The sequence below is a fragment of the Homo sapiens genome, chromosome 10 (assembly GCF_000001405.40).
Source record: "Homo sapiens chromosome 10, GRCh38.p14 Primary Assembly".
NCBI lineage: Eukaryota > Metazoa > Chordata > Mammalia > Primates > Hominidae > Homo > Homo sapiens.
Window position 1 is genome coordinate 5,193,354 of NC_000010.11, and position 26,050 is coordinate 5,219,403.

At 38.1% G+C, this 26,050-nt stretch overlaps 1 protein-coding gene and 1 pseudogene across 1 annotated transcript, besides 2 other annotated features; both read left to right on the forward strand.

Annotated features, from left to right (window-relative positions):
* AKR1C4 (aldo-keto reductase family 1 member C4) lies at positions 3,484–25,596 on the forward strand. Its single transcript, NM_001818.5, has 9 exons — positions 3,484–3,598; positions 6,828–6,995; positions 11,024–11,140; positions 12,404–12,481; positions 12,922–13,044; positions 19,263–19,372; positions 19,641–19,806; positions 23,358–23,440; positions 25,365–25,596. Exons 1-9 carry the CDS (start codon positions 3,515–3,517, stop codon positions 25,405–25,407), a joined length of 972 nt encoding a protein of 323 aa, NP_001809.4. The 5' UTR covers positions 3,484–3,514; the 3' UTR covers positions 25,408–25,596.
* Positions 6,600–6,823: a silencer, noted in NCBI's record as "fragment chr10:5241916-5242139 (GRCh37/hg19 assembly coordinates)". NCBI's record gives its function as "represses an EF-1alpha promoter that drives an FKBP-Casp9 reporter gene in an ReSE screen in HepG2 liver carcinoma cells {active_cell/tissue: HepG2}" and the evidence as "EXISTENCE:reporter gene assay evidence [ECO:0000049][PMID:32094911]".
* On the forward strand, positions 13,349–14,708 carry ARL4AP3 (ARF like GTPase 4A pseudogene 3; annotated as a pseudogene).
* Positions 16,612–16,781: an enhancer, noted in NCBI's record as "experimental_13158 CRE fragment used in MPRA reporter constructs". NCBI's record gives its function as "activates a minimal promoter by MPRAs in K562 erythroleukemia cells, with activity observed for both the introgressed and non-introgressed 10:5252013 variant alleles {active_cell/tissue: K562}" and the evidence as "EXISTENCE:reporter gene assay evidence [ECO:0000049][PMID:34662402]".

The following is a 26,050-nucleotide window of genomic DNA, read 5'->3' on the forward strand; positions in this document are numbered from 1 at the left end:
ACAAAATACTGATGAAAAAAATCATGGATGAAACAAGCAAATAAAAAGATTACCATGCTTATGGATTGGGAGAATCAATATCATGAAAATGATCATACTGCCCAAAGCAAACTACTGATTCAATGCAGTTCCTAACAAAGTACCAACATTATTCTTCATATAATTACAAAAAAATCTAAATTTCATAAAAAGGCAATCCTAAGCAAAAGAACAAAGTCACAGGTATCACTTTACCTGACTTCAAATTATACTAACAGACTATAGTAACTAAAATAACATGGTACTGATACAACAGTAGACACGTGGATAAATAAGAATAGAGAACCTAGAAATAAAGCTACATACATACAACAAACTGATCTTTGACAAAGTTAAAGAAAAACAAACAATGAGAAAAGGACACTGTAACCATTAAATGGTATTGAGAAAATTGGCTAGCCAAAGCTGAATAATGAAACTAAACCCCTATCTCTTACCATTGGCAAAGTTAAGTCAACGTGGATTAAGGACCTACAAGGAAAATCTGAAACTATGAATGTCCTAGGAGAAAACCTTGGAAAAACTCTTCTGGACATTGAGCTAGGCCAAGATATAATGATGAAGATGCCAAAAAGGAAATGTAACAAAGACAGATAAATGGGAATTAAACTAAAAAACTTATGGGCAGCAAGAGAAATAATCAACAGAATATCTACAGAATGGGAAAAATATTTTCAAATTTAGGCTCCAACAAAGGACTTTTATTTAGATTCTATAAGGAACTCAAACCAACTCAACAAGTAAAACACAAACAATCCCATTAAAAACTAGGCAGAAGACATGAACAGACATTCATCAAATGAAGACATACAAGCAGCTGACAAATATACAGGAAACTGTTTTTAATAGTCATCAGAAAAATGCAAATTAAAAGCACATTGAGATGTCATCTTGCACCAGTCAGAATGACTATTATTAAAATGTCAAAAAACAACAAATATCAGTGTGGATGTGGAAAGAAGGCAAAATGTGCATATACATACTAATATGCATATATATATATACTAAGTGTACATACGTATACTAAGCATATATGCTTATGGAATACTAAGCATCCACTAAAAAGAGTGAAATTAAGTCCTTTTCAGCAGCATGGATGGAACTAAAGGATATTATTCTAAGTAAACTATCGTACAAGCACAACAAAATACCACATATTCTCATTTATAAGGGGAAGCTAAACAATGTGTACACACGGACATAAACATGGAAATAATAGACATCAAGTACTTCAAAAGGGAGAAAGGTGGAGACAGGGGCAAAGATGACAAAACTTCCTATTGGGTACAATGTTCACTATTTAAGTGATGTGTACACCAGAGGCCCAAACCTCACCAGTATGTAATGTGTCTATATAACAAACCTACACATGTGCCTATTTAATCTAAAATAATTTTTAAGACTTTAATAAGAAATAAAAATCCGAAAGTCTTTCCTTACTAATATCAATGCCTGTAATTCTTCACAGTTTGTCAGTTTATTTTCTTCCTCATAATGAACGCTGTTTTCCTGTTTCTTTGTAGCTTTGTTATTGTTTTTATCGCACATTTGAAAAACAGCCACATTTCATAATCTATATATATTCTGTGTCATGACAATGATCAGCTAATATGCTTGGCATATTCTTAGTCTCGACATCAGCCCTACATGAAAACTTAAGGTCTTCTCAGTTCTTTTCTGAACGTGCATCTGCCTAGACTCTGTGTGCCCTATTTGATTTCTCCAAATACCCAATGGTTTTGAATACCTTATCATGTCAAAAATTCACAGCTCAGCTTCTCCTAAGTGCCATAGATGGCCTATTGTATGTCTCTTCCCCCTAATCTCTTGCCAGTGGCATCTGTGCATCTATAGTCACCCTGCATCTCTACTGAGCCACTCTATAAATAAATGAGTTTATTTTAGTTCATTTCAGATTGTTTTTTGATAATTCCATGGGAGATTTGAGAGCTTTCTAATCTACCATCCTGCTGATGACACTCTGTGTGAAAATTTTTAAATGGCTCTATTATATTCCATTGCTTCAATGTATAGTAATTTACCTAATTATTTTCTTTTATTGTTCCTTTTAGGAAGAAGTGAATAGAAGAAAAGAGGGTGTTGCAAATCAAAAGCACATAGAGATATCATCTTACACCAGTCAGAATGGCTATTCTTAAAATGTCAGACAACAACAGATATTGGTATGGATTCTTCACAGATGTTAATCATCTTCGTTTTTTGTTTTTTGTTTTTTTTTTTTTTTTTGAGACAGTCTTGCTCTGTCGCCCAGGCTGGAGTGCAGTGACCCAATCTTGGCTCACTGCAACCTCTGCCTCCTGAGTTTAAGCAATTGTCTTGCCTCAGCCTCCTGAGTAACTGGGATTACAGGTATCCACTACCACTCCAGACTAATTTTTGTATTTTTCGTAGAGACAAGATTTCACTTGATTGGTCTCAAACTCCTGACCTCAAGTAAACCTACCGCCTTGGCCTTCCAAAGTGCTGGGGTTACAGGCGTGAGCCACTGCCCCCGGCCTAATCATCGTGTTCTAGTCTGCCCTCCAATGGGAGAAACAAGTAAAATTATGCCATGTGAGGATTATTCACCAATTTATTTTAATTACTTTTTTCTTTATAACATTTAATAAGATCACAAATTATATAAAATAGTTATCAGCTTTTTGGGAAGTTACTTTTGCTGGTTTCTTATAAAACTGATGGAAGATACAAACACTATTAAAGAACTGTTTGCATGTTGCAAATGATGTCCAAAGTCCAAACATTGTTAATAATTAATACTCCAATAAACATCATGTCAGAATTTCTGTTTTCTTTTCCCTTTGAACCTTTGCAGGATTGCCACATCATCAGGACCACACCTTCATCAGGAATGAATATTCCTACTACAATTAAAGAAGAAACAAAATTAATTTGTTGGTGAAAAACGTAAAAAGAGAAATTTTCTTTGGTTTTGTTTAATTTCTTTATTGAGGGTCACCACTAAAAAAAAATGCTCACTGGTCATTCTTTTGAATACTGTCTGAGAGAAAGATGTAAGATGGTTGATTATTTCAAATGACAGAAGATAAAGATGGGATATCATCATGGCATGAACAAAAACAAGATTTGTAGCTGGAGGTATTTTATAGTCTAACATGATCACCAATCATTCTATAAACCTGTTGGATGAGTTTATCAGACAGACAGAGAGAGAGATTGATTGATTCTGAATAGAAAATTTCACTTTAGAAAAAAATATTTTGACTATATAATAATGTATGTAAAAATTCTCTTTGATAAGAAACGAGTGAACTGGATTCAATTTTCCTCACAGCCTGTGTAATACACCATCACTTGCTTCCTCCTACATGCCATTGATTAGCCCCAGGGAGCAGTGCAGCACTGCCTGCCCATGTTTTACATAACCCCTGAATATAAATGCCAGATGTTGCTGAAGGAAACAGGATCTGCTTAGTGAAAGAAGTGGCAAGCAATGGATCCCAAATATCAGCGTGTAGAGCTAAATGATGGTCACTTCATGCCCGTATTGGGATTTGGCACCTATGCACCTCCAGAGGTAATAATCACATTTTCAGCATTGAGCATTTAAAAGAGCAAAGCTAGAATAAGTGAACGATGACCTGGGTTGTTCAGCTTTGTGTTTCTGTTACCCTGAGTGACTCACGTGGTCTGTCTTACTGGGCTAGAGCTATTCTATGTTCAAAGAGAAAAGGTAGTCAATGTTTGTTTTGCACTGAGGTCTGTCATATGGTAATTTACTGCTTATTTTTATTTTATACACTGTTTTTATATGCTGTTTCTGTGTATTGCCCAGCTTGGCAGAATATATAAAACTCAACAGTGAAGAACACTGCCTGGCAGTTCCCTTTCTAGGAGATGACTGCAGTGAGAATGGTTTCTCCATTTATTTCTGTGGTTGAAGAAATCTTTTATTCTTCTACTAGACGTGATCAAAAGAAACATTTGTGGTAACAGCACCTAAAGATGGGGTGTATGAAAACTGTTGGGAGAGTACTGCTGAGCTGCCGCGTGGTCTTGAGCATGACACAGTAATACTGGTCCTGGACTTAATACAATGCCCTGCACAACTCTCACCTCTAGGAAAATTATCTGAAAGGAAAAATAACTTTATTCTAAGGAAAACCTAGAACCTCACAAGAAAAATTTTAAATTTTTGGTCCGTGTTAATATGCATCAGATTTGTATCAAAATGATAGGGGTGGCCCTCTGACACGGAAGTGGGCAAAATGGAGACATTTTTTCTAGACTGAGCTATTTCTACACTGGAAGAAAACTTGTATTCCAAGACTACTAAGTGTGTTAATAAGGAGTAGTCACATAAAATTTTTGTCTAAATTTGATCAACTATACGTTGTAAGAATTTACAGAGAAACACCTTGAAGACCATCGACAGGAGTGGTTCACTTTGTAATGCAAATTGGCATGAAGGAGAAGTAAGGAAAAGCACAACACGGAAGCTCTAGCCTTGGTAAACCTTGAGTGCCTGCACAGCAAACAGAGGATCAGGGTTGGCATCAGGGGAAGGTAGTGCAACCTGGCATCTAGTTCCTTTTAATTTCACTAGAAAAAGAAAGCTTCAGAAAAGCTTATATTAAAATAGAAAATTGTTTCATTTACGGTTTTGTCATTTAAAAAATATACCTTTCAAATCTTTATCCAAATTTGGTAGATAAGTCAATAATTTTAAATTTCACTGAAATTATATCGTTTCTAAAAGAGTTGGTCTTATTTTTTAGGGATAAAGCGTACCTTACTAATCTCTCACAGGTCGCAGTTAATTTCTTAGGTATAAATCTACATCCTTGGAATGTATGTCTTTACTCCTAGTATTTAGTTCTGTCATGCACACAGAATGGCTAATGGCTGTGTAGAAAGGAGTTAACACAATAGACTGCCACCCGTAGATGCGCCTGTTTTCAAAGTTGGAGCCTGGCTGGTATCTGAGAAGTTGAATTTCTCACCCCTTCCTAACTGATAAGGGTAGCATCTATAATTAACTGGTTGTACAAAGTGTGGGGTTTCTGTATACCTGCTTTCTTTACAAGACCGGAAGTTTGGTGTGTGCTATACAGACTGGGTCAATTTAACCAGCACCCAGTTAAAATCTTGGGAATTGAGTCTCCAAATAGCATCCCTTGTAGTCAACATTTCCCCTATGTTGCCAAAATGTGATGCTGGAGGAAGTCAGTGTGTTTCCTGAAACATCACTGAGAGACGAATCATAGGAACTTACACCGTATTCTTACCATAATTTCTTCCATGTGCCTTTTTCCATGTGTTAATTTCACTATATTAAAAATAATTAGGAGTGTGTATGCAGTGACTCATGCCTGTAATCCCAGAACTTTGGTAGGCCAAGGCAGGTGGATCCCTTGAGCTCCGGAGTTTGAGCCTGGGTAACATAGGAAATCCCATCTCTACCAAAAATACAAAAACTTAACCAGGCATTATCATGCCTGTCTGTGGTCCTAGCTATTTGGGAGGCCAAGGTGGGAGGATCACTTGAGCCCAAGGTAAAGAAGGTGGGGGTGGGGGCAGATTTTGTAGTGAGCCAAGATTGTCCCACTTCACACCAGCCTGGGTGACAGAGTGAGACTCTGTCTCAAATAATAATAACTATTTATAAGTTGAGTCTTGTTAATTTTTCTAACAAATGACTGAATCTGAGGTTGTTGTTGGGAAACTCCATGCTAGTGATTAACCAGTAACTGCCTGGGACTGAAGAGGTCCAGGGATACCCAATCTTTATTACTAACCAGGAAAGACTTCAGCAAATTGGGATGGGTTTATCACCCCACATATAGAACCAACCCAAGACACGAGGATAATGTGATTTTTGTGAAGGTCAGTGCTGGTGCCTGAACTACTGATAGGGATGTGCTGGGAAGGGAAGAGCGTGGTCCCTTTAAATGATACAGAAAGCGGGAAGGGAAGTGCTGGCTAGAGGAGGACGTGGTCCCTGGCTACGGCTCCACCGCCTCGGACCTAGGTGAGGACAGGCATTTTTGTTTTCCTGCCCAAAAGTTGCATTTCCCAAGACCACCCTGGCCTGCCATGCCCCCATCCTGTGCCTATAAAAACCCCAAATCCTAACAAGGCAGAGACAGAACCGGGTGGACTTTGAGAGGATCACATCGGCAGAGGAATACACAGGTGGCTAGACATCTAGAGAAATGCACCGAAAGGCACCAGTACGCCAGCGGGCCACCTACTGGCAGAAGCAGAATGACGCTGAGTTTGGCTGGGGCAGTCAGAAGACAGTCCAGGCTGCTGAGCAGCCGGACTCTAGGGGAAAACGTTCCTACTCCATCCCCTTCTGACTTCCCCCCAAGCTACCTCCACTCAATGAAACCCTGCACTCATTCACCAAGCCCAGGTGTGATCCGATCCTTCCGGTAAACCAAAGCAAGAACTCAGGATACAGAAAGCCCTCTGTCCTTGCCATAAGGTAGAGGGTCTAATTGAGCTGGTTAACACAAGCCTGTAGATGGCAAAACTTAAAGAACAAAACTAAAAGAGCACCCTGTAACACATGCCCACTGGGGCTTCAGGAGCTGTAAACATCCACACCTAGACACTGTCAACGGGTCATAGTCCCACAACCTGCCCCCATCTGTATGCTCCCCTAGAGGTCTGAGCAGCGGGGGCCTGAAGAAGCGAGCCACACCCCCACTGCACACCCTGTGAGGACAAGGGAACTTTTCCTGTTTCACTACCTCTCAAGCACATTGATCACCAAATACTACCTTTCGTTGCTCCTTCAGGTTCCGAGGAACAGAGCTGTAGAGGTCACCAAATTAGCAATAGAAGCTGGCTTCCGCCATATTGATTCTGCTTATTTATACAATAATGAGGAGCAGGTTGGACTGGCCATCCGAAGCAAGATTGCAGATGGCAGTGTGAAGAGAGAAGACATATTCTACACTTCAAAGGTACTGTGCCTATGATGAGCATGTATGCACATGTGTTTAATGGGATTGTGTGGAGATGACAATTCTGTAACTGGTTCAGTAGTTGTGGGTGAATTGTGCTTATTAGTTCCAATTTATTCACACATATTCAGGTATTAAAGCTAAAATAAAAGGCAGAGAATGATGATGCCTTTCTCATCATTGTTGTGTTCAAATTTACTACTTGAAAGTTACTTTAGGTTTTGAGCCTCAGCTCAGATCAGTATAATTATTTTATGAATTCATATTTTAATTTCAACAGGTTTTGGGGTACAAGTGGATTTTGGTTACATGAATCAATTCTACACTGGTGATTCTGAGATTTAAGTGAAGCTGTCAGGCGATCACTGGACATCGTACTCACTATGTAGGCTTTTATCCCTCACCTCACTCCCAACCTAACCCACACTGAGTCTTGAAAGTTCATTATATAATCTGTATATCTATACATCCTCGTAGCTTAGTTCCCACTTATAAGTGAGAATGTACAGTGTTTGGTTTTCCATTCCTGAATTACTTTACTTAGAATAATGGCCTCAAGCTCCAAGTTCCTGCAAAATATATTATTTCATTCCTTTTTATATATACACTATTCCATGATGTATATATATATATACCACATTTTCATTATTCATGCATTGGTTGATGGGCACTTGGATTGGTTTCATATTTCTACAATTGTGAATCATACTGCTGTAAACATGTGTGGGTATGTGTTTTTTATATATAATGACTTCTTTTCTTTTTGGTAGATACCAGTATTAGGATTGCTGAATCAAATGGTAGATCTACTTTAAGTTCTTTAAGGAATCTCCATACTGTTTTCCATAAAGATTACACTCATTTACATTCCTACCAGCCGTGTAAAAGTGTTCTCTTTTTACTACATTCATGCCAACTTCTACTGTCTTTTCAGCTTTTTAATTATAACCATTCTTGCAGAAGGTGATATCTCATTGTGATTTTAATTTGTACTTCCCTGATTATTAGTTATGTTGAGCATTTTTTCATATGTTCGTTGGCTGTTTGTATACTTCTTTTGAGAAATGTCTATTCATGTTATTTGCCCACTTTTCAACAGGGTTATTTGTTTTTATCTTGGTGACTTGAGTTCCTTGTAGATTCTGGATAATCAGTCCTTTGCTGGATGCATAGTTTGCAAAAACTTTCTTCCATTCTGTAGGTTGTCTGTTTACTCGCATGATTATTTCTTTTGCTGTGCAGAATCTTTTTAGTTTAATTAGGTCCCATTTATTTTTGCTTTTTGTGCATTTGCATTTTGGGGTCTTAGAGACAAATTCTTGGCTGAGGCCAATGTACAGGCCAATGTTAAGAAGAGTTTTCCAATGTTATCTTCTAAAATTTTTATGGTTTCAGGTCTTAGACTTAAGTCTTTGATCCATCTTGTGTTGGTTTTTGTATAAGGTGAGAGATGGCTTCCAGTTTTATTCTTATACATGTGGCTTAACAGTTGTCCCAGCACCATTTATTGAATAGGGTTATTTTCCCTAATTTATATTATTGTTTGCTTTGTTGAACAAAGATTAGTATTTGCCCTAATTTCTGTGTTCTCTATTCTGTTTCATTGATCTAAGTGCCTATTTTTTATACCAGTACCATGCTGTTTGTATAACTATAGTCATGTAGTATAATTTGAAGTCTGGTAATGAAATACCTCCAGATTTCTTCTTTTTGCTTAGTATTGCCTTGGCTATTGAGGCCCTTTTGTGGTTCCATATGAATTTGGAATATGGCCATTTTTATACTATTGATTCTTTCTATCCATAAGCATGGGATGTGTTTCCATTTGTTTATGTATCATTTCTTTTTAGTAGTGTTTTGTATTTTTTTGTAGAGATCTTTCATCTCTTTGGTTAAGCATATTCTTAGGGATTTTATTTGCAGCTGTTGTAAATGGAATTCTTAATTTGACTCTCAACATGGTTGTTGTTGGTGAATAGCAGTGCTACTAATTTCTGTAAACGGATTTTGTAACCTGAGACTTTACTGAATTTGTTTGTCGGAGGAGCTTTTTGGATGAGGCTTTGGGGTTTTGTAGGTATATGATCATATTACTGGCAAACAGCAATACTTTGGCTTATCCTTTTCCAATTTGGATTCCCTTTATTTTTTTTACCTTGCCTGATTACTCTGGCTAGGACTTCCAGTACTATGTTTAATAGAAGTGGTAAAAATTGGGCATCCTTGTCTTATTCCAGTTTTCAGGGGAATGCTTTCAATTTTTCTCCATTCAGTATGATGTTGGCTATGGATTTGTTATATATGCATTTTATGCCTAGTTTGTTGAGGGTTTTTATCATAAATGGATGTTGGATTTTATTAATTGCTTTTTTGCATCTATTGAAATGATCCTATGGTTTTGGTTTTTAATTCTCTTTGTGTGGTATATCATATTTATTGGCTTGTATATATTATAGCATCCCTGCACCTATGGGATGAAACCCACTTGATCATGATATATTTTTGATGTGCTGATGGATTTGGTTAGCTAGTATTTTCTTGAGGATTTTTACATCTGTATTCATCAGGGAGATTGGTCTATAGTTTTCTTTTGTGTGTGTGTGTGTGTGTGTGTGTGTGTGTGTGTGTGTGTGTTATGTCCTTTCCTGGTATTGGTATTTGGTGATACTGGCTTCATAGAATAATTTAGGCAGGATTCCCTCTTTCTCTGTATTTTTGAATAGTTTCAGTAGGATTGGTACCAGTTCTTCTTTGAACATCTCCTGTGGAGATAGCAACTTTGGCTTTCAAGCTATTCCCCTCCCCATCCACCTTCAAGGCCAGGTGCCAGCCTTCTGCATTTGTCTGCAGCACACTTCCTGCTTTCCCCCGGGGTTCTGGCCAAGGGGGCTCATTCCCACTTGAGATAATATTAATATCATGAAATTCAGTTAGGAGCTTCTTTCGATCTGTGACATGTGGCTGAACTCCCCAAGTTCAAGTTGGCTGACTTTGCTGATGTCCCCTGTGAGATAAAATAAGAAATGGCTTCCCTCAGTCCATGCTGGAGACTGGTAATACCTTTGTGACACTTGTCACTGCCGCTTCTACTTTATTTCTCACCTCTCCCTAAATCAGCTTTGGGCCTGGGTAGGGTTAAGGCCTTACCCATGGCCTGAATTCTCAGATTCCCTGGTGGGGAAGAGTATTCTGGAGGCAGTTTCTCCCCTTCTCACACTCTGGGCACTTACAGTTTTTCATCTGTCTCACAGTGTTGGCTGTAGCCTGCCACTTCTTTCAAAGGGTCTGTGAATTTTCACTTTTCCTATTAAGTTCCTGCATTGCTTCTTGGAAAAAAGTTTGCAGTGTGAATCTCTATATGCTATTCTGTCTTTCCAAGTGGGAGAGGCATGCTAACACTGCCTCCAATCCACAATCTTGGGAACAAAAAACTCAGACCAGGATGGTTTAACATAGACTACAGATTCAGAGAGACCTATAATCAATATTTTAGTTTTTCTTATGTCTGGGATGACTTTCTTCAATATCTTATTCTGAATCTCAATTGTCCTTTTCAGTGAAGAGTGTGGGAGGCAGGGAGATGCAACATAAGGATGTTATGAGTATGAAACAACAGATAACAGAAGTATCTTGAATGATTGCTCAACACATGTCAGCACGTAAAAACTTTTTGCTCTTCAGTTTCTAAACAGGAATGCTTATTCTTGCCCATCGGGTTCAATGGATGAGAAAAATTAGACTATTCAAATGCTTTATAATTTCTCTCAAACACAGTTCAGATCATCAGAATTACTTGATATCAATTTTTACCTACTGAAAATTTTAATTCCATTGTTCAGCAGTTGTACTAACTATATATGCAATATGTAGCTTTCATATAGGTAGGTCATATCAAAATAAAACAAAGGGAATTTTTGCCAGAGGTCATCTGTTTGGAACGGTGAAAAATGTCTAAATATTAGGTGAAGCAAACTAATAAAACTAGCTCATGTTTTTATTCAACATAAATCCTTTATTTTACCATGCAGCTTTGGTGCACTTTCTTTCAACCACAGATGGTCCAACCAGCCTTGGAAAGCTCACTGAAAAAACTTCAACTGGACTATGTTGACCTCTATCTTCTTCATTTCCCAATGGCTCTCAAGGTAGGGAATTTGTGAGATCAACTTCTCTTCTGTTCTCAGCATGACCATCCTTTATGATGGTTGAATTGAACTTCTTCTAAGGAGGGTGTAGGTGTTATTACATGGCAGAAGAGTCCTAAGTATAATGCCTAAGCCATTTTCTTGAAGAGTACAACCTTCCTTCTGTAACGTATGATGACAAGAGAAGACAGTACATCAACCTCAAAGCCTCTGATTCAAAAATTCAAGAAAATAACAACAGCCACCTTCAAGGCTCTGTCTTAATTAGGGTTCCTGAGTCCATCTCTTAGGATCTTCACAGATACAGAGATCCATGCAGCTGTGGTACCCCAAAAAAACTGCTGCACATGTGGTGTACAGTGAGTTTCCATTATCTTTCCCCATTTTAAGCTGAAGTAGATTTGGTGGAACTCACTCTGGGTGAGTTTTAAAAAGGAAACCATAATAGGACCTGAGAATCCTTGCCTTTTTCACTAAGGCTTATTTCACAATGGAGTTTGTAGCTTTGCCTAGTCATGAATTTCGGTTGTGCATAACTTTTAAATTTATAGAAAAAAAACTCAGGCTAGTTTATTTAAAAAAGAGTTTATTGCATGATGCAAATGGGTAGTCACTGCCATGAATACATTTCAAGATTTGACGTAGACTCTAAAAATGTGACCTTTCTCCATAATTATCTATGAACTCCAAGAAGTTTTCTGGATTTTTGTCCCAGCCTTTTTGATTGTTGGCAATGATAGCTTTGAGGCAGCTCAATGCTCATGGTGATTAACATAAAAGAACCTCCGTGGGTCTTACAACTTTCAAATTAATACTGAAAAGAACTTCCATTTGAACATGTTTAGTTTATGATCCTGCTCATGGACTATCAAGTCTTCAGGGGGATAAGGAACTCTTATTGTATCACCTGGATCAAGAATACAATCCCTTATTGCTGGATATCAAGGGCTGTTTGAGTCAAAGAGAGGCATTTCCCCCAAAAAAATTATAGGATCAGACAAAAGTAACAGAAGTCGACTGTGAACCCCCATTAAAACCTGTAAAATGGTTATTAATATATATAATGGAAGTAGGAGATTAAAGGAAGCCTGTCTCCTAAAGACATTCCTTAAAACTCTGTACGTGAAACACTTGGCCCACATCACTTTCTAGAACATTTCAGCACCTACCTCACGGTGGATTATTATCCTAAAATGTACATGGGAGCATGCCTATGGGTGGAAAAGTTAAATGGTGACACTAAAGTGACTGCTTCTACTTCAGCCAGGTGAGACGCCACTACCAAAAGATGAAAATGGAAAAGTAATATTCGACACAGTGGATCTCTCTGCCACATGGGAGGTGAGTGCTTGGAGGACAGAGTACAGAAAAGGAAGACAAGAAGAGGTAAACCTGTTCCCCAGCTTTCATATGCAACATTGGAATATGCACCATTGGAACTAGAAATTAAGGAGCTTGACAAAGGAAGTTTTGCTGAGTGGTAGGGAAGAATACATGACTGAAATAGAATAGCAGGAAATGAAGGAGATAAACTGGGGACAAGGAAGACAGATATTCCTCCCGCTCCATGGACATTTATCTCTCCAGCTTCCTAAAGAGGATACACAAATTCTTCTTGCTGTCACTATCCTTTTGTTATCTGTTGTAATTTTTTCTCTTGAGAATCACTGCTATTTTCATTGTCATATCTTAACAGTTGTTGCTTTAACAGTTCTGTCTTGCATTTATCATAATCTGCAGCCAACTGCACAAATAATTCCTCACAACCCCTTTCTCCCCAGGTCATGGAGAAGTGTAAGGATGCAGGATTGGCCAAGTCCATCGGGGTGTCAAACTTCAACTGCAGGCAGCTGGAGATGATCCTCAACAAGCCAGGACTCAAGTACAAGCCTGTCTGCAACCAGGTGAGCACCCTCAGCCTCCTCTCCTTTCTCTTCTCAATGTCCATCTTCCTGTCCTACTGCCTGGCTTCCATTTGTTTTGTTCCACTTACATTTGTGAAACAGAAGATTCTAGAAAGCAAAACATCTGTCTAGAAGAAAACGGAAGACCCTTAATTGCACCTCTTCTTGGAGAAGTCTTAATGAAAATGGTACAGAGACCTTCATGCTAAATTGTGTGTACTATTTTTGGGGGAGGTGAATTTCATCAAGGAGGACTGAAATGGTTAATCAGAACTCAGGGAGAAGGTGGACTTATCTCTAAGGTATGAAAGACCACCAGAGAGTGGATTGGTAAAGATGATTTGGAGTAGAATGTATATAATTATAGAGGCCATAAAAACATGGGATGAGCAATAAATCAGGAGACAGTGAGAATAAGAGAAGATCGGTACTACGGGTTTAAATAGGGTTTAGATGTCTGAATGCTTTTTCTTGTCATCTCTGTTTTCATAGTTCTTGAGCAGGTACTAAAAATTAACTGGAAACAATGAAAGTCATCCAGGTTAGGGAGAGGAAGTTACCCGTTTATGAGAGTTGCTTGAGAGATAAGCTGAAAGGATGTGGCGTGCTACCCCCACCCCTGCCTCGTGTAGAAAAGCCTGCCAATGTTGCCTCATTTAGACCCAGACTCCAAAACGGGAGTCTTATAGCTGGGCCACCTAGGAAGAGAGGTTCTAAAGCATAAAAAAGAAAGCATTTCATTTTGGGACATTTATTTGCAGCTGGAAATGGGGGAATGGGCTAACTGGCTAAACTACTATCTTGTCCATCCTGCCTTCACTTCAGTCCTTCCACATTGTTATTTGGTGTTTGAACTGTGCTAGAAGAACTGTTTTATACAGGCTGCTATTCAATAAATTTGTAAATACCATACCCACACCAAAGGATTTAACACTGAAAAGATTAAGGTAATTTTGGAAAATTCTAAAAGTCACTTTTCACTCCTGAGATGTAGGTGGTCAGAAGAAATGAGGAACACTGTAGAAGCCATATGCAAGATGCACAGATGGCATTGTGTTTGTTGTGGACTGTTGATGTTAACAGGATGGAAGAAGTCAAAACTGAACTTTATAAAATAGGGTATAAGAAAATAAAGATGTCCCTGTACTTACAGGTGCTAAGAAACTAGACTTGAAGAACTTGTCTCTCTCAGAAATTGAGAAATTGTTAGCAATGGTTGAACTAAGCTCATCAACTCCTTGGCATTTGCAGCCTACCTGTGCAATCATAGGACATGAAATAAAGGAAGGACTTGAGAAACTCCATGATGTGATAATGAAGAGAAAAATATTGCAGTAATATAAAAAGATGAATATGATACCTTTTCTATATATGTAGAATAGATTTTCTCTGGTCTGATTTTGACAAATGCAAGACTGTCTACAGCCTAGTTTTCCTGTATGCCCTCCTGGGTGCTATCAAAGCTTCATTTCATTGAACAATCAGATGCCCAACTCTGTGGCTTTGTGGAAGATGAGTAAATGCAGTAATGCTTGAAATGGTCTCTTCTCCCTAGCCCACAAATATTTTGGTACTATCATTTTGGGAAGTCAAGCAAGTATAGTAAATTAACCAGAACACAATTGTGGAAATTTGATGCAAAGTTAGTGAAATAAAACTTTAAAGAGTGAAAAAAAGGAAAGTTAACTATTTATGGAGATAACTAGTTATGGTGGATGAAATCAACACTGAGGAAAATTTAGCAGAACATTGAGCTGACCTTTTGACTGTCCACATCTTATTCTGATGCACTGCTTTGCTTTCTGTCATCAAATCAACTGTTTAGAAGCATTTATTCTGCGTATGGTTCTGTTCTCTTACTCTTTTACTACTTAGAGTCAATGAGTACAGGTCTACAGTTGAAACATGTATTTAAAATTTATGTATTTGGTAATATAATACAAAATCATGATTTTCAATTAAAAAGGAATTAATGTGGTTTTAATATTAGTTTTACTCAATTATTATTATGACAACTTTCAAATTTTAGAGAAATTTGAAGGGATAATACAGGACATCTACATGTTATCATCTATTTCCAAAATTGTTGACACTTTGCCAACCTGGCAAGTATATAGGCATATATGAGTATATCTGCATCAATACAGGTAGTATTTGTTGAATCTCTTCAAAATATATTCCAATGATCACAATTCACCTCTACAGACCTTTCAAAGCATGGCATAGGAATGAAGATATTCTCCCAGTAACAGTGCAATTATTATATCTAAGGAAATAACAATAATGCCCTCATATCATTGATTATCCAGTCAGTATTCATATTTCCCATTGTTTTATTGAAAGATCTCTTATACCTCTATTTTAACCATAAATAGAAGATGAAAAAATTTAAAGATACCATAAGATATTAAGTACCTGAAATTATACCTAATAAAAGATGTGTATGACCTCTAAGGAGAGAATTATAAAACAATGAAGAATAAATAAAAGATGTATCATGAAAACAAAAACAAAAAAAAAACATCCAATTGTGACTTTCAGTTTGTTGTACTTTGGTCCGTTAACTTGTTGTTCCAAGTTTTTAAAATTTAAGTTTGTGTAGATTAGAAGTTATACTTGAATGCTTTATATCATAGAAGTTAAACATTTTTGGTGAGAAACTGCCTCTACATTGCTGTATCCCTGAAATTATACCACAGTAGGCAGCATGAAATGACAGATTGTCCCACAATTAGTGATGCTAATTTTGATCACTTGGTTAAACAAGTGGTAACCAGATCTAATTTCCAGAGACATGTGTTCTCCCCTTTGTAATTACTGGTAATCTGCTGGGTGAAATAAGAGGGAAAGTTATATTACACAGCAAATTTTCACATGATGATTGAGTATACATCAATGATGTTTTAAATTTTTGTATTGTATTATTGTATTTGTTCTTTCCTTGGGGCTTTAAAGTAATTACTTTCAATTTTAACTACAAGTTTTACTATTCTTTACGTTTTATTATAAAAAAATTTTTTTCACAAAGTCAAGAAAAGAAACAATTACTGCTCTCAGATATGCCAAAAGCTTAACTCCTTCCCTTTAATTATTCATTTCCTAGAAAAAAAATTACTGTAATAATCACTATATTAGTCCATTTTCATGCTACTGATAAAGACACATCCAAGACTGGGACTTATAGTTCCAATATGGCTGAGGAGGTCTCACAATCATGGCAGAAGGCAAGGAGGAACAAGTCACATCTTACATAGATGATGGCAGGCAAAGAAAGAGCTTGTGCAGGAAATCTCCTCCTTATAAAACCATCAGATCTCATGAGACTTATTCACTATCTCAAGGACATCATGGGAAATATCTGCCCCCATGATTTAATTATCTCCCACCAGGTCCCTCCCACAACACATGGGAATTATGGGAGCTAAAAGATGACATTTGGGTGGGGACACATAGCCAAACCATATCATGCCACCCCTGGCCCCTCCCAAATCTCATGTCCTCACAATTCAAAACCAATCATGCATTCCCAATAGTCTTCCAAAGTCTTAACTCATTTCAGCATTAGATCAAAAGTCCACAGTCCAAAGTCTCATCTGAGACAAGGCAAGTCCCTTCCACCTATAAGCCTGTAAACTCAAAAGCAAGTTAGTTACTTCCAGGATACAATGGCGGTACAGGCATTGGGCAAATACAGCTGTTTCATGTGGGAGAAATGGGCCAAAACAAAGGGGCTACATGACCCATGCAAGTCTGAAATCCAGCAGGGCAAATTTTAAAGCTTCAAAATGATCTCCTTTGACTCCATGTTTCACATCCAGGAGTCAATGGAACTCCATTTACATCCATGCTGATGTAAGAGGTGGTTCCTATGTTCTTGGGCAGCTCCACCACTGTGGCTTTGCAGGGTACAGCCTCCCTTCTGGCTGCTTTCATGGGCTGGCATTGAGTGTCTGCAGCTTTTCCAGGTGCACAGTGCAAGCTGTCAGTGGATCTACCATTCTAGGGTCTGGAGGATGGTGGCCCTTTTCTCAGAGCTCCACTAGGTGGTGCCCCAGCAGGGACTGTGTGGGGGCTCTGACCCCAGAGCACTGCCCTAGCAGAAGTTCACCATGAGAGTGCATGCCTAGTGGTAAACTTCTGCCTGGACATTCAGGCGTTTCTATACATCCTCTAAAATCTGAAATCTAGGTGGAGGTTCCCAAACCTCAATTTTTTTTTTTTTTTTTGAGATGGAGTCTCACTCTGTCACCCAGGCCCAGGCTGGAGTGCAATGGCGCTATCTCAGCTCACTGCAACCTCCGCCTCCCAGGTTCAAGTGATTATCCTGCCTCAGCCTCCAGAGTAGCTGGGATTACAGGCACGTGCCACCACACCTGGCTAATTTTTGCATCTTTAGTAGAGACAGGGTTTCACCATGTTGGTCAGGCTGGTCTCAAACTCCTGACTTTGTGATCTGCCTGCCTCAGCCTCCCAAAGTGCTGGGATTACAGGCGTGAGCCACCACGACCAGCCCCATACCTCAATTCTTAACTTCTGTGCACACATAGGCTCACTACCACATAGAAGCTGCCAAGGCTTGGGACTTGCACCCTGTGCAGCCATGGCCTGAGCTGTACCTTGGCCCCTTTTAGTCACGGCAGGAGTGATTGAGATGCAGGGCACCAAGTCCCTAGACTGCACACAGAATGGAGACCCTGGGCCCAGCCCATGAAACCATTTTTTCCTCCTAGACCTCCACCTCCCTCTGGGCCTGTGATGAGAAGGGCTGACACAAAGGTCTCTGACATGCCTTGGAGACATTTTCCCCATTGTCTTGGTGATTAACATTTGGCTCCTTGTTACTTATGCAAATTTCTGCAGCTGGCTTGAATTTCTTCTCAGAAAATGGGTTTTTAATTTTTACTGCATCATCAGACTGCAAGTTTTCTGAACGTTTATGCTGTTTGCCTTTTAAAACTGGATGCTTTTAACAGCACCCAAGTCACTGCTTGAATGCTTTGCTTAGAAATTTCTTTGACCAGATATCCTAAATCATCTCAGGTCCAAAGTTCCACACATCTCTAGGGCAGGGACAAAATGTCAATTTCTGCTAAAACATAACAAGAGTCACCTTTGCTCCAGTTCCCAACAAGTTCCTCATCTCCATCTGAGACCACCTCAGCCTGGTTACTATCAGTATTTTTGTCAAAGACATTCAACAAGTCTCTAGGAAGTTCCGGACCTTCTTATACTTTTCTGTCTTCTCCTGAGCCCTCCAAACTGTCAGAACCTCTACATATTACCTAGTTCCAATGTCACTTCATTTTCAGGTATCTATCTTTCAACAATGCCCCACTCTACCATATTAGTCCATTTTCATGCTGCTGATAAAGACATACTCAAGAGTGGGGAAAAAGGGGAGTTTAATGGACTTACAGCTTCACATGGCTGGGGACACCTCACAATCATGGCAGAAGGCAAAGAGGAGCAAGTCATGTCTTACATGGACAGCAGCAGGCAAAGAGACAGCTTGTGCAGGGAAACCCATTTTTAAAATCATTAGATCTTGAGAGACTTATTCACTATCATGAGAACAACACAGGAAAGACCCATTCCCATGATTCAATTATCTCCCCTGGGCCCCTCCTACAGCATGTGGGAATTATGAGAGCTACAAAATGAGATTTGGGTGGGGACACACAGCCAAAACATATGAATCACCATTGGTGAAGGCAAATACTTTTGATCACTCTGTCTTTTAACCACTCAACACTATGAAGACATGGATTGTTTTGCTATAATTTGTAATTCATTTTATTCATTGTTGGTTTTTGATGCTCAAATCTATGCAAATGTTACTGGGATTCCTATAAAACTACTTTTCTCTTTTAAACCTGCCCTTATGAGTCTTTAAAGAAATTCTTACATTCTGGCACAATTTGATGTTCAAAGCTCAGAATCTTAACCTATCCCAAGTCTAGAATTGGCCATGTGCACTTCTAGTGGTCAAAGGTTGTTAGAAACTGGCTCTGGTTCATAGAGTTGCTAATGCTCAGAAATAACATTTCTATATATACTTTTAGACCAGTAATATAAACTGTATTTTTATAAAATGATTGTTACTTGACAGTAATATTCTGTTCAAATTTAATGTTATACTTTATTCAGCTTATTTTAATCTTTATATTAACATATCTGTTTTGAATTATCTGATGCTTTTCTCTCTTGATCATCTAAAGGTAGAATGTCATCCTTACCTCAACCAGAGCAAACTGCTGGATTTCTGCAAGTCAAAAGACATTGTTCTGGTTGCCCACAGTGCTCTGGGAACCCAACGACATAAACTATGGTAATAAGAGCATCAGGAAGTTTACCTAAAATGCCATTTTGATGAAAAATTTTAGTTATAGCATACTCAGTCTCCTAGAGTTCATTCTCAATGGGTCAGGGTAAGGGGATAATTTGCATTTCTTATGAGATACCAGGTGATGCTGCTGCTGTTCAGGGACCTCACTTGAGAGGCTCTGGTGCAGAATGAACACCTTAGTCTGTTTAGGGAGCCTCCTACCAAACTGAATCCAGCCTCAAGACTTCAGCATTTCTGGCTTTCCTTCCAGGGTGGACCCAAACTCCCCAGTTCTTTTGGAGGACCCAGTTCTTTGTGCCTTAGCAAAGAAACACAAACAAACCCCAGCCCTGATTGCCCTGCGCTACCAGCTGCAGCGTGGGGTTGTGGTCCTGGCCAAGAGCTACAATGAGCAGCGGATCAGAGAGAACATCCAGGTGAGGAGTTGGGTGGGCATCAGGGCTCCTGCACAGTGTCCTTCACACGTGTGCTTCTTGTAAGGTTCTCAGGACACCCTTGGACTAAGTCCACTTCCTGGGCATTTCCTATGCACAAATGCTTTGTGTGCATAAGTGTTTTCTACTCTACCACAGGAGGGGCAGCATGGGTGGAGAGAATCAGGATGGGACCAAAACCAGGAATTTTGGTTTCACAACATAAAGTTGGCAACTTAACTCTATCCCTCTGCTAGGGACATCACCTTTTCTTCATTTTCTGAAGTGAGGAGTTGGGTTAGGTGTTCTCTAATCTTCAAAAATCATTGCAGATTTTTCATGTCCTTGTTTACTCAGTATAAATTTCATATATTTATTCTCTTAGAATTATTTGTTGAGTGCCTGTTGAAATCTTTGGGTATTTTATTAGGTTGCATGTCTTTTTCTATGTGTAGAAGATCATAATTATACTGAGTAAACTTATTAAAGAAAACCTCTCAACATAGAGGTTTAATACAAAACCATTTATTTAACTGACAATTCCATGGTTTGAAGTTTAGCCTAAAGCTCCACCTGAACTCAGTCTCGTCCTGTTTCTGGCTGGGCTTTCTCACGTGTGTGCAGGGCAATGAGGCAGCTCTACAGAATTAATCCAGAATCCATATTCTGGATATTCTTTAACAGCTTCAAATGTATTGTTGAAATAGCCTCTCCCAAAATGTACCCGTATTTTGATTCCCTTTATGGTGGTTTTAATAAGCAAAAGTTTCTACTCTTAATGTAGTCAAATTCTTTATGACATTTTCTCGTGGTTGCTAATATCATGACTTTTTCTATATTGGAAACATGACAATATGTTAATATATTATATAGTAAAATATTATGTAGTAATACAAAGTAATATATTATTGTCTATTAATATCTTATAAAAGTATTAATGTGCTTTTATAAACTGGGATAGTAATTTGATTTTTAATATGTGAAATAAGAGTACAAATGTACATATACATAATCTTCACTTGATACTAAAATGTCCTACTAAGAATTATTGAAAAGTCCATATTTGCTCACTTATCTTGATTTTTCATCCTAAGTGTCCATAAGTACTTCACTGACATTTCCCCTCTTTCAGAGTTAACTTTCCTGTACTGTTTAAGATTATGTTGAATAGAAAGTCTTACTACCATAATAGTAACAGTATTTTTCTGACTTAGTCTCTTATATAATAATGGCTTGGCTAGTCCTGAATGAGTGTTCTGTTACATAACATTCAGTAATATCAACTTCAACAAAAGGGCTAATATTTTGTTCTCTGGCTGAAATTGCTGTGAAACTGCAGATCAATTTGGTGAGAACTGATTGAGACTTCCAGTTTACGACCATAGACCATATGAATATTCAGTTATTTATGTGATATTTTAATATGTGCTTCAATTAGTTACATAGCATTCTTTATTAAGGCATTCGTGTATGTTTTCCTAGATTTATTCATAGAAAACTTATACTTTTAATAGTCTTTGGATAACTTTTTTTGAGAATTTTCTAATCTATGCAAATATTCTAAGAATACAATGAATGCTTCTTACCTAGACTCATCAATTGTTAAATTGATGACATTTTTATTCTTTTCCTCTCATTCTCTGTATCATTAGAGTATTCCATTAAAATTTAGTAATTTAGTATTATGTTAGCAATGAGTGACATCTTTTTGATATTTAAATTCTTTCCAATTTGTATACTGAGACCCTCTTCAAGAAACTATTTGTGTTCTTTGAGCATGATGTTATTAGGATTTGGACAATTACTGTCTTGAATTTTATTGAAAACAATTGTTTTTCACATTATAGCTGTTTGTCAAAGATGGAAATACAGATGAATAAATTTGGATTTCAGTATTTCTACATCTGATGTGAAACTGTATAATGCTGCAGACAAAGAGGATCTCAACAGATACTAGAGATGAAATAAAGTTAAACTGGTGTGTACATGACTGGTTCATGTACTTATAAGATTCGGAAGAATCTGGAGAAAAATTTTGAAACTTATAATTTAGACAGTTTGATGGTGATACAATTTGGATATTTGTCTCCTTCTAATCTCATGTTAAAATGTGATCCCCAGTGATGGAAGTGGGGTCTGGTGGGAGGTGTTTGTGTCATGGGGGCAAATATAGAAATATAGAAATCCAACAATATCCATCTGTATTAGTCTGTTTTGTGCTGCTGTAAAAAAAATACTTGATGCTGGGCAATTTATACAGAAAAGAGCTATATTTGGCTCACAATTTGCAGGCTGTACAAAAAGCATAGCACCAGCATCTCATTCTGGAGAGGCTTCAGGAAGCTTTAAGTTCCAACATTAGGTCATTCCTTTGCACCCATACCTGATCATAGGCTGTTAGAAGCAGTCACACTATCTCTTGAATGTTTTCCTGCTTAGAAATTTCTTCCACCAGATACCCTTAGTCATCACTAAGTTCAGACTTCCACAAAGTCCTGGAATGGACACGATGCAGTCAAGTTCTTTCGTAAGGTATAACAAGGGTGATCTTTGTTCCAGTTTTTAATAAGTTTCTCATTTTGATCTTAGACCTCATTAGCCTAAACTTAGTTGGCCATATTTTTAATCAGCATTTTGGTCAGAATCACTTAACCAATGCCTAACAAGTTCCAGACTACCCCTTATCTTCCCATTTTCTTCTGAACCCTCCTGACACTTCCAAACTGTGCTAATTATCCAGTTCTAAAGCCACTACCACATTTTCAGACATTTTTAGCAATGTCCCACTCCTGGTAACAATTTTCCATATTAGTCCATTGTGCGTTGCTATAAAGTACCCGAGGCCAGATAAAATATGCCGAAAGTTGTTTTGACTTACCATTTTGCAGACTGTACAAAAATCATGGCACCAGCATTTAGTTTTGGTGAGGGCTCAGGAAGCATTTACTCGTGGTAGAAGGTGACAGAGGAGGAAACATATCAAATAACAAGAGATGAAGAGGGAAAAAAAGAAAATGTCAGGCTCCTTTTTAAACCAGATTTCATGTGAACTAATGCAGTGAACACTCATTACCATGGGGAGGGCACCCAGCCATTCATGAGGGATGCCCCCAGGGCACAAACACCTCCCACCAGGACCCACTTCCATCATTGGGGAATTACTTTTTAACATGAGATTAGGAGGGGACAAATATCCAAATTGTATCACCATCAAACTGTCTAAATTATACATTTCAAAATTTCTCTAGATTCTTCTGAATCTAAGTACATGAACCAATCATGTGCACATAAGGTCAACTTCGTTCCATCTTTAGTTTCTGTTGAGATCTTTTCTTCAGTTTTGTGCAGTTTCAATATGTAATATCTAGGAATAGATTTATATTTTATCTGATATTCTTTAATCACTTGAGAGTTTAGAGATGGTCTTTCATAACTTTTGGAAACTTATCAAGTATTTTACATATTGCCTCTACACCCTACTGTGTGATATACTTGGCTATTCCAAGTTGACAATTATGCAATCTAAGAATAAACATTTTCTACTTCTTTGGTAGGTTTTTGAATTCCAGTTGACATCAGAGGATATGAAAGTTCTAGATGGTCTAAACAGAAATTATCGATATGTTGTCATGGATTTGTAAGTAACTTTGGAAAATGGGTTTCCCAGTTTATTTTTAGAGGAGGAATGTCAGATGGGTGTTGAAAGTGACCTCAATACCAGGGAGACAGAGGCCAGTGCAAGTGAGAGGTGAGACAGGAACTCTCTGGAACTCTCCTTCTGGATTCACTCCAGAGCTCTGTTCTCTGACAGGGTGAGTGGACCCAGGGTCAGCATCGGTCAACCTGTGCCTCTGCTCTCCTGACTCCATGGAAATTTCCAGAGCAGCCAATATTATTGCTAAATCTGCAACTTTCATGTAGGCCTGGCATTTCTGCCGTGGCCTAGTGGACAGTAGATATTGCCCATATGGCTTGATTAATGTTTTTCCAAATCTGTACTTATAGCTTTTTCTTCCAAATCCACTCAGTTTCTTATCAGCTAAAAAACATTTCCAACAACACTGGTGTCCATGCCAGAAATTCTCTTCTCTTCCATATGGAATTGCTCACTAGATCATGTCAATTCAGTATCTTTAATTGTTTCAAATTTCTTTCTTCCTTCTCTTTAGACATTTGCTCATGACCCAAACACTGCATTTTGCCTCCAGGAAGTTTGCCCTTAGTAGGCAATAGAACTCTTGGCTTTAATTTTTGCAATATGGAAATCTCAATGCAGAGTATAAAGAAGCTTTAGAGAAGATAGATTAAAAATCAAGGGAAGAGCCAGGCTCAGTGGCTCATGCCTGTAATCCCATCATTCTGGGAGGCCAAGGCAGGTGAATCACTTGAAGTCAGAAGTTTCAGACCAGCCTGGCCAAAATGGCAAAACCCTGTCTCTACTAAAAATAAAAAAATTAGCCATGCATGGTGGCACACACCTGCAAATCCAGCTACTAAGGAGGCTGAGACAGGAGAATCCCTTGAACCCGGGAAGCAGAGGTTTCAGTGAGCCAAAATTATGCCACTGCACTCCAGCCTGGGCAACAGAGCAAGACTCAGTCATTAAAAAACAAAAAAATCAAGGGAAGAGTTGGAAAGTCCCATCTTTGGGGATAATATATAGCTGACAAAAGATCTTACTCTTTTCTATATGCTCCAAGGTTCTAGGATTCACAGAAAGGCACTCATGTGATGAGGGCAAAACAAGTTATGTCACTGCCTGCAGTGGAGATGTTAACAAGTAATAGACATGAGATAATGTATTAAAAAGGATAAGCACAGCAGCACATCATAAGAACTCAAACATTTTTAGATATCTTTATTAGTTTAGAGGAAAATAGTAAAATAGAAAATCATGAAAAGGAAAGGAAGAGTGGCAAACATCAGTAATTCTCACCAATCAATTATTCAATATTAATGAATCATTTATTCATTCTATTTTGTGTGATTTTCACCTAAAGATTGCCCTTAGCATATTGTAGGGTTTTGAATATGGAACCCCATATCACATATGACAATTTACATGTCTGAATCAAAGAAAATATTTTCCATATGGTAAGCAGCTAGTCAGTAATGAATACATTCTTTTAAAAGGATATGTGATTGCTACCAATAACATTTAACCCTCAAAACTTTTTGTTAATGATGAACATATAGCTGGCTTATTTCTATTCAAAACAATGCAAGATGAGTTCCTGCTTTCATTGAGAATTTGAAATAGAAAATGTCAGAATATCTCTTTGCTCTGTTGACAGATATGGAGGACTATGTTTGAACAATTGACCCTGTGTAGTTTGTGTGATAAATTCCAGGCAAGGGAATATAAGTTGAAAATTTTCTTATTTTGAAAAAAAAAAAAAACACATTATAAACTCATGTTCATGAAAGACATTCTACAAATAGTCCGAAAATAAACTTCTTAACATTCACACTAATGGCAGCTTCATATAAATTCACTTTGCTACCAGCTTTTTAATAGAGTCATTTCATCCATATTTATGTACTATCCTTTCTCTTTTCAGTCTTATGGACCATCCTGATTATCCATTTTCAGATGAATATTAGCATAGAGGGTGTTGCACGACATCTAGCAGAAGGCCCTGTGTGTGGATGGTGATGCAGAGGATGTCTCTATGCTGGTGACTGGACACACAGCCTCTGGTTAAATCCCTCCCCTCCTGCTTGGCAACTTCAGCTAGCTAGATATATCCATGGTCCAGAAAGCAAACATAATAAATTTTTATCTTGAAGTAATTGAATGTTTTTCCTTAAAGATTCTTTTCCTACTCCTTTCTCTGTTACTTGTGTGTTTCTTTTCCTTCTAGTTCTTTAAGGCCAAAAACTGATTTGCCTATAAGTTTGGGGCAGAGAGCAGATGATAACCAATATTTTATAGACATTTTTGAGGTGAGAGTAGGTGGAGTTTTCAGCCTCTAGAGGAGAAGCAAGTGACATATTTGTTAGTCTGTCTTTAGCTCTTCCAGAAAGAAGAAAACACACAGCACAGAACCTGAACATGAGCCATATTGACAGGATGACCAACAATTAATGGCCTCCCTCCAGCATCGCAAGAATGGGAGCTCCAGCAACCTAGGGGTGCAGCATCCCTGTGGGGTAATGGTTAGGGAGGTGGGAGGGCACCCATCCAGGAGAAATAATTAGGAGTCAGATATGGGAGAGGTGAGAAGGGAGTTGAGCACATTCTGCT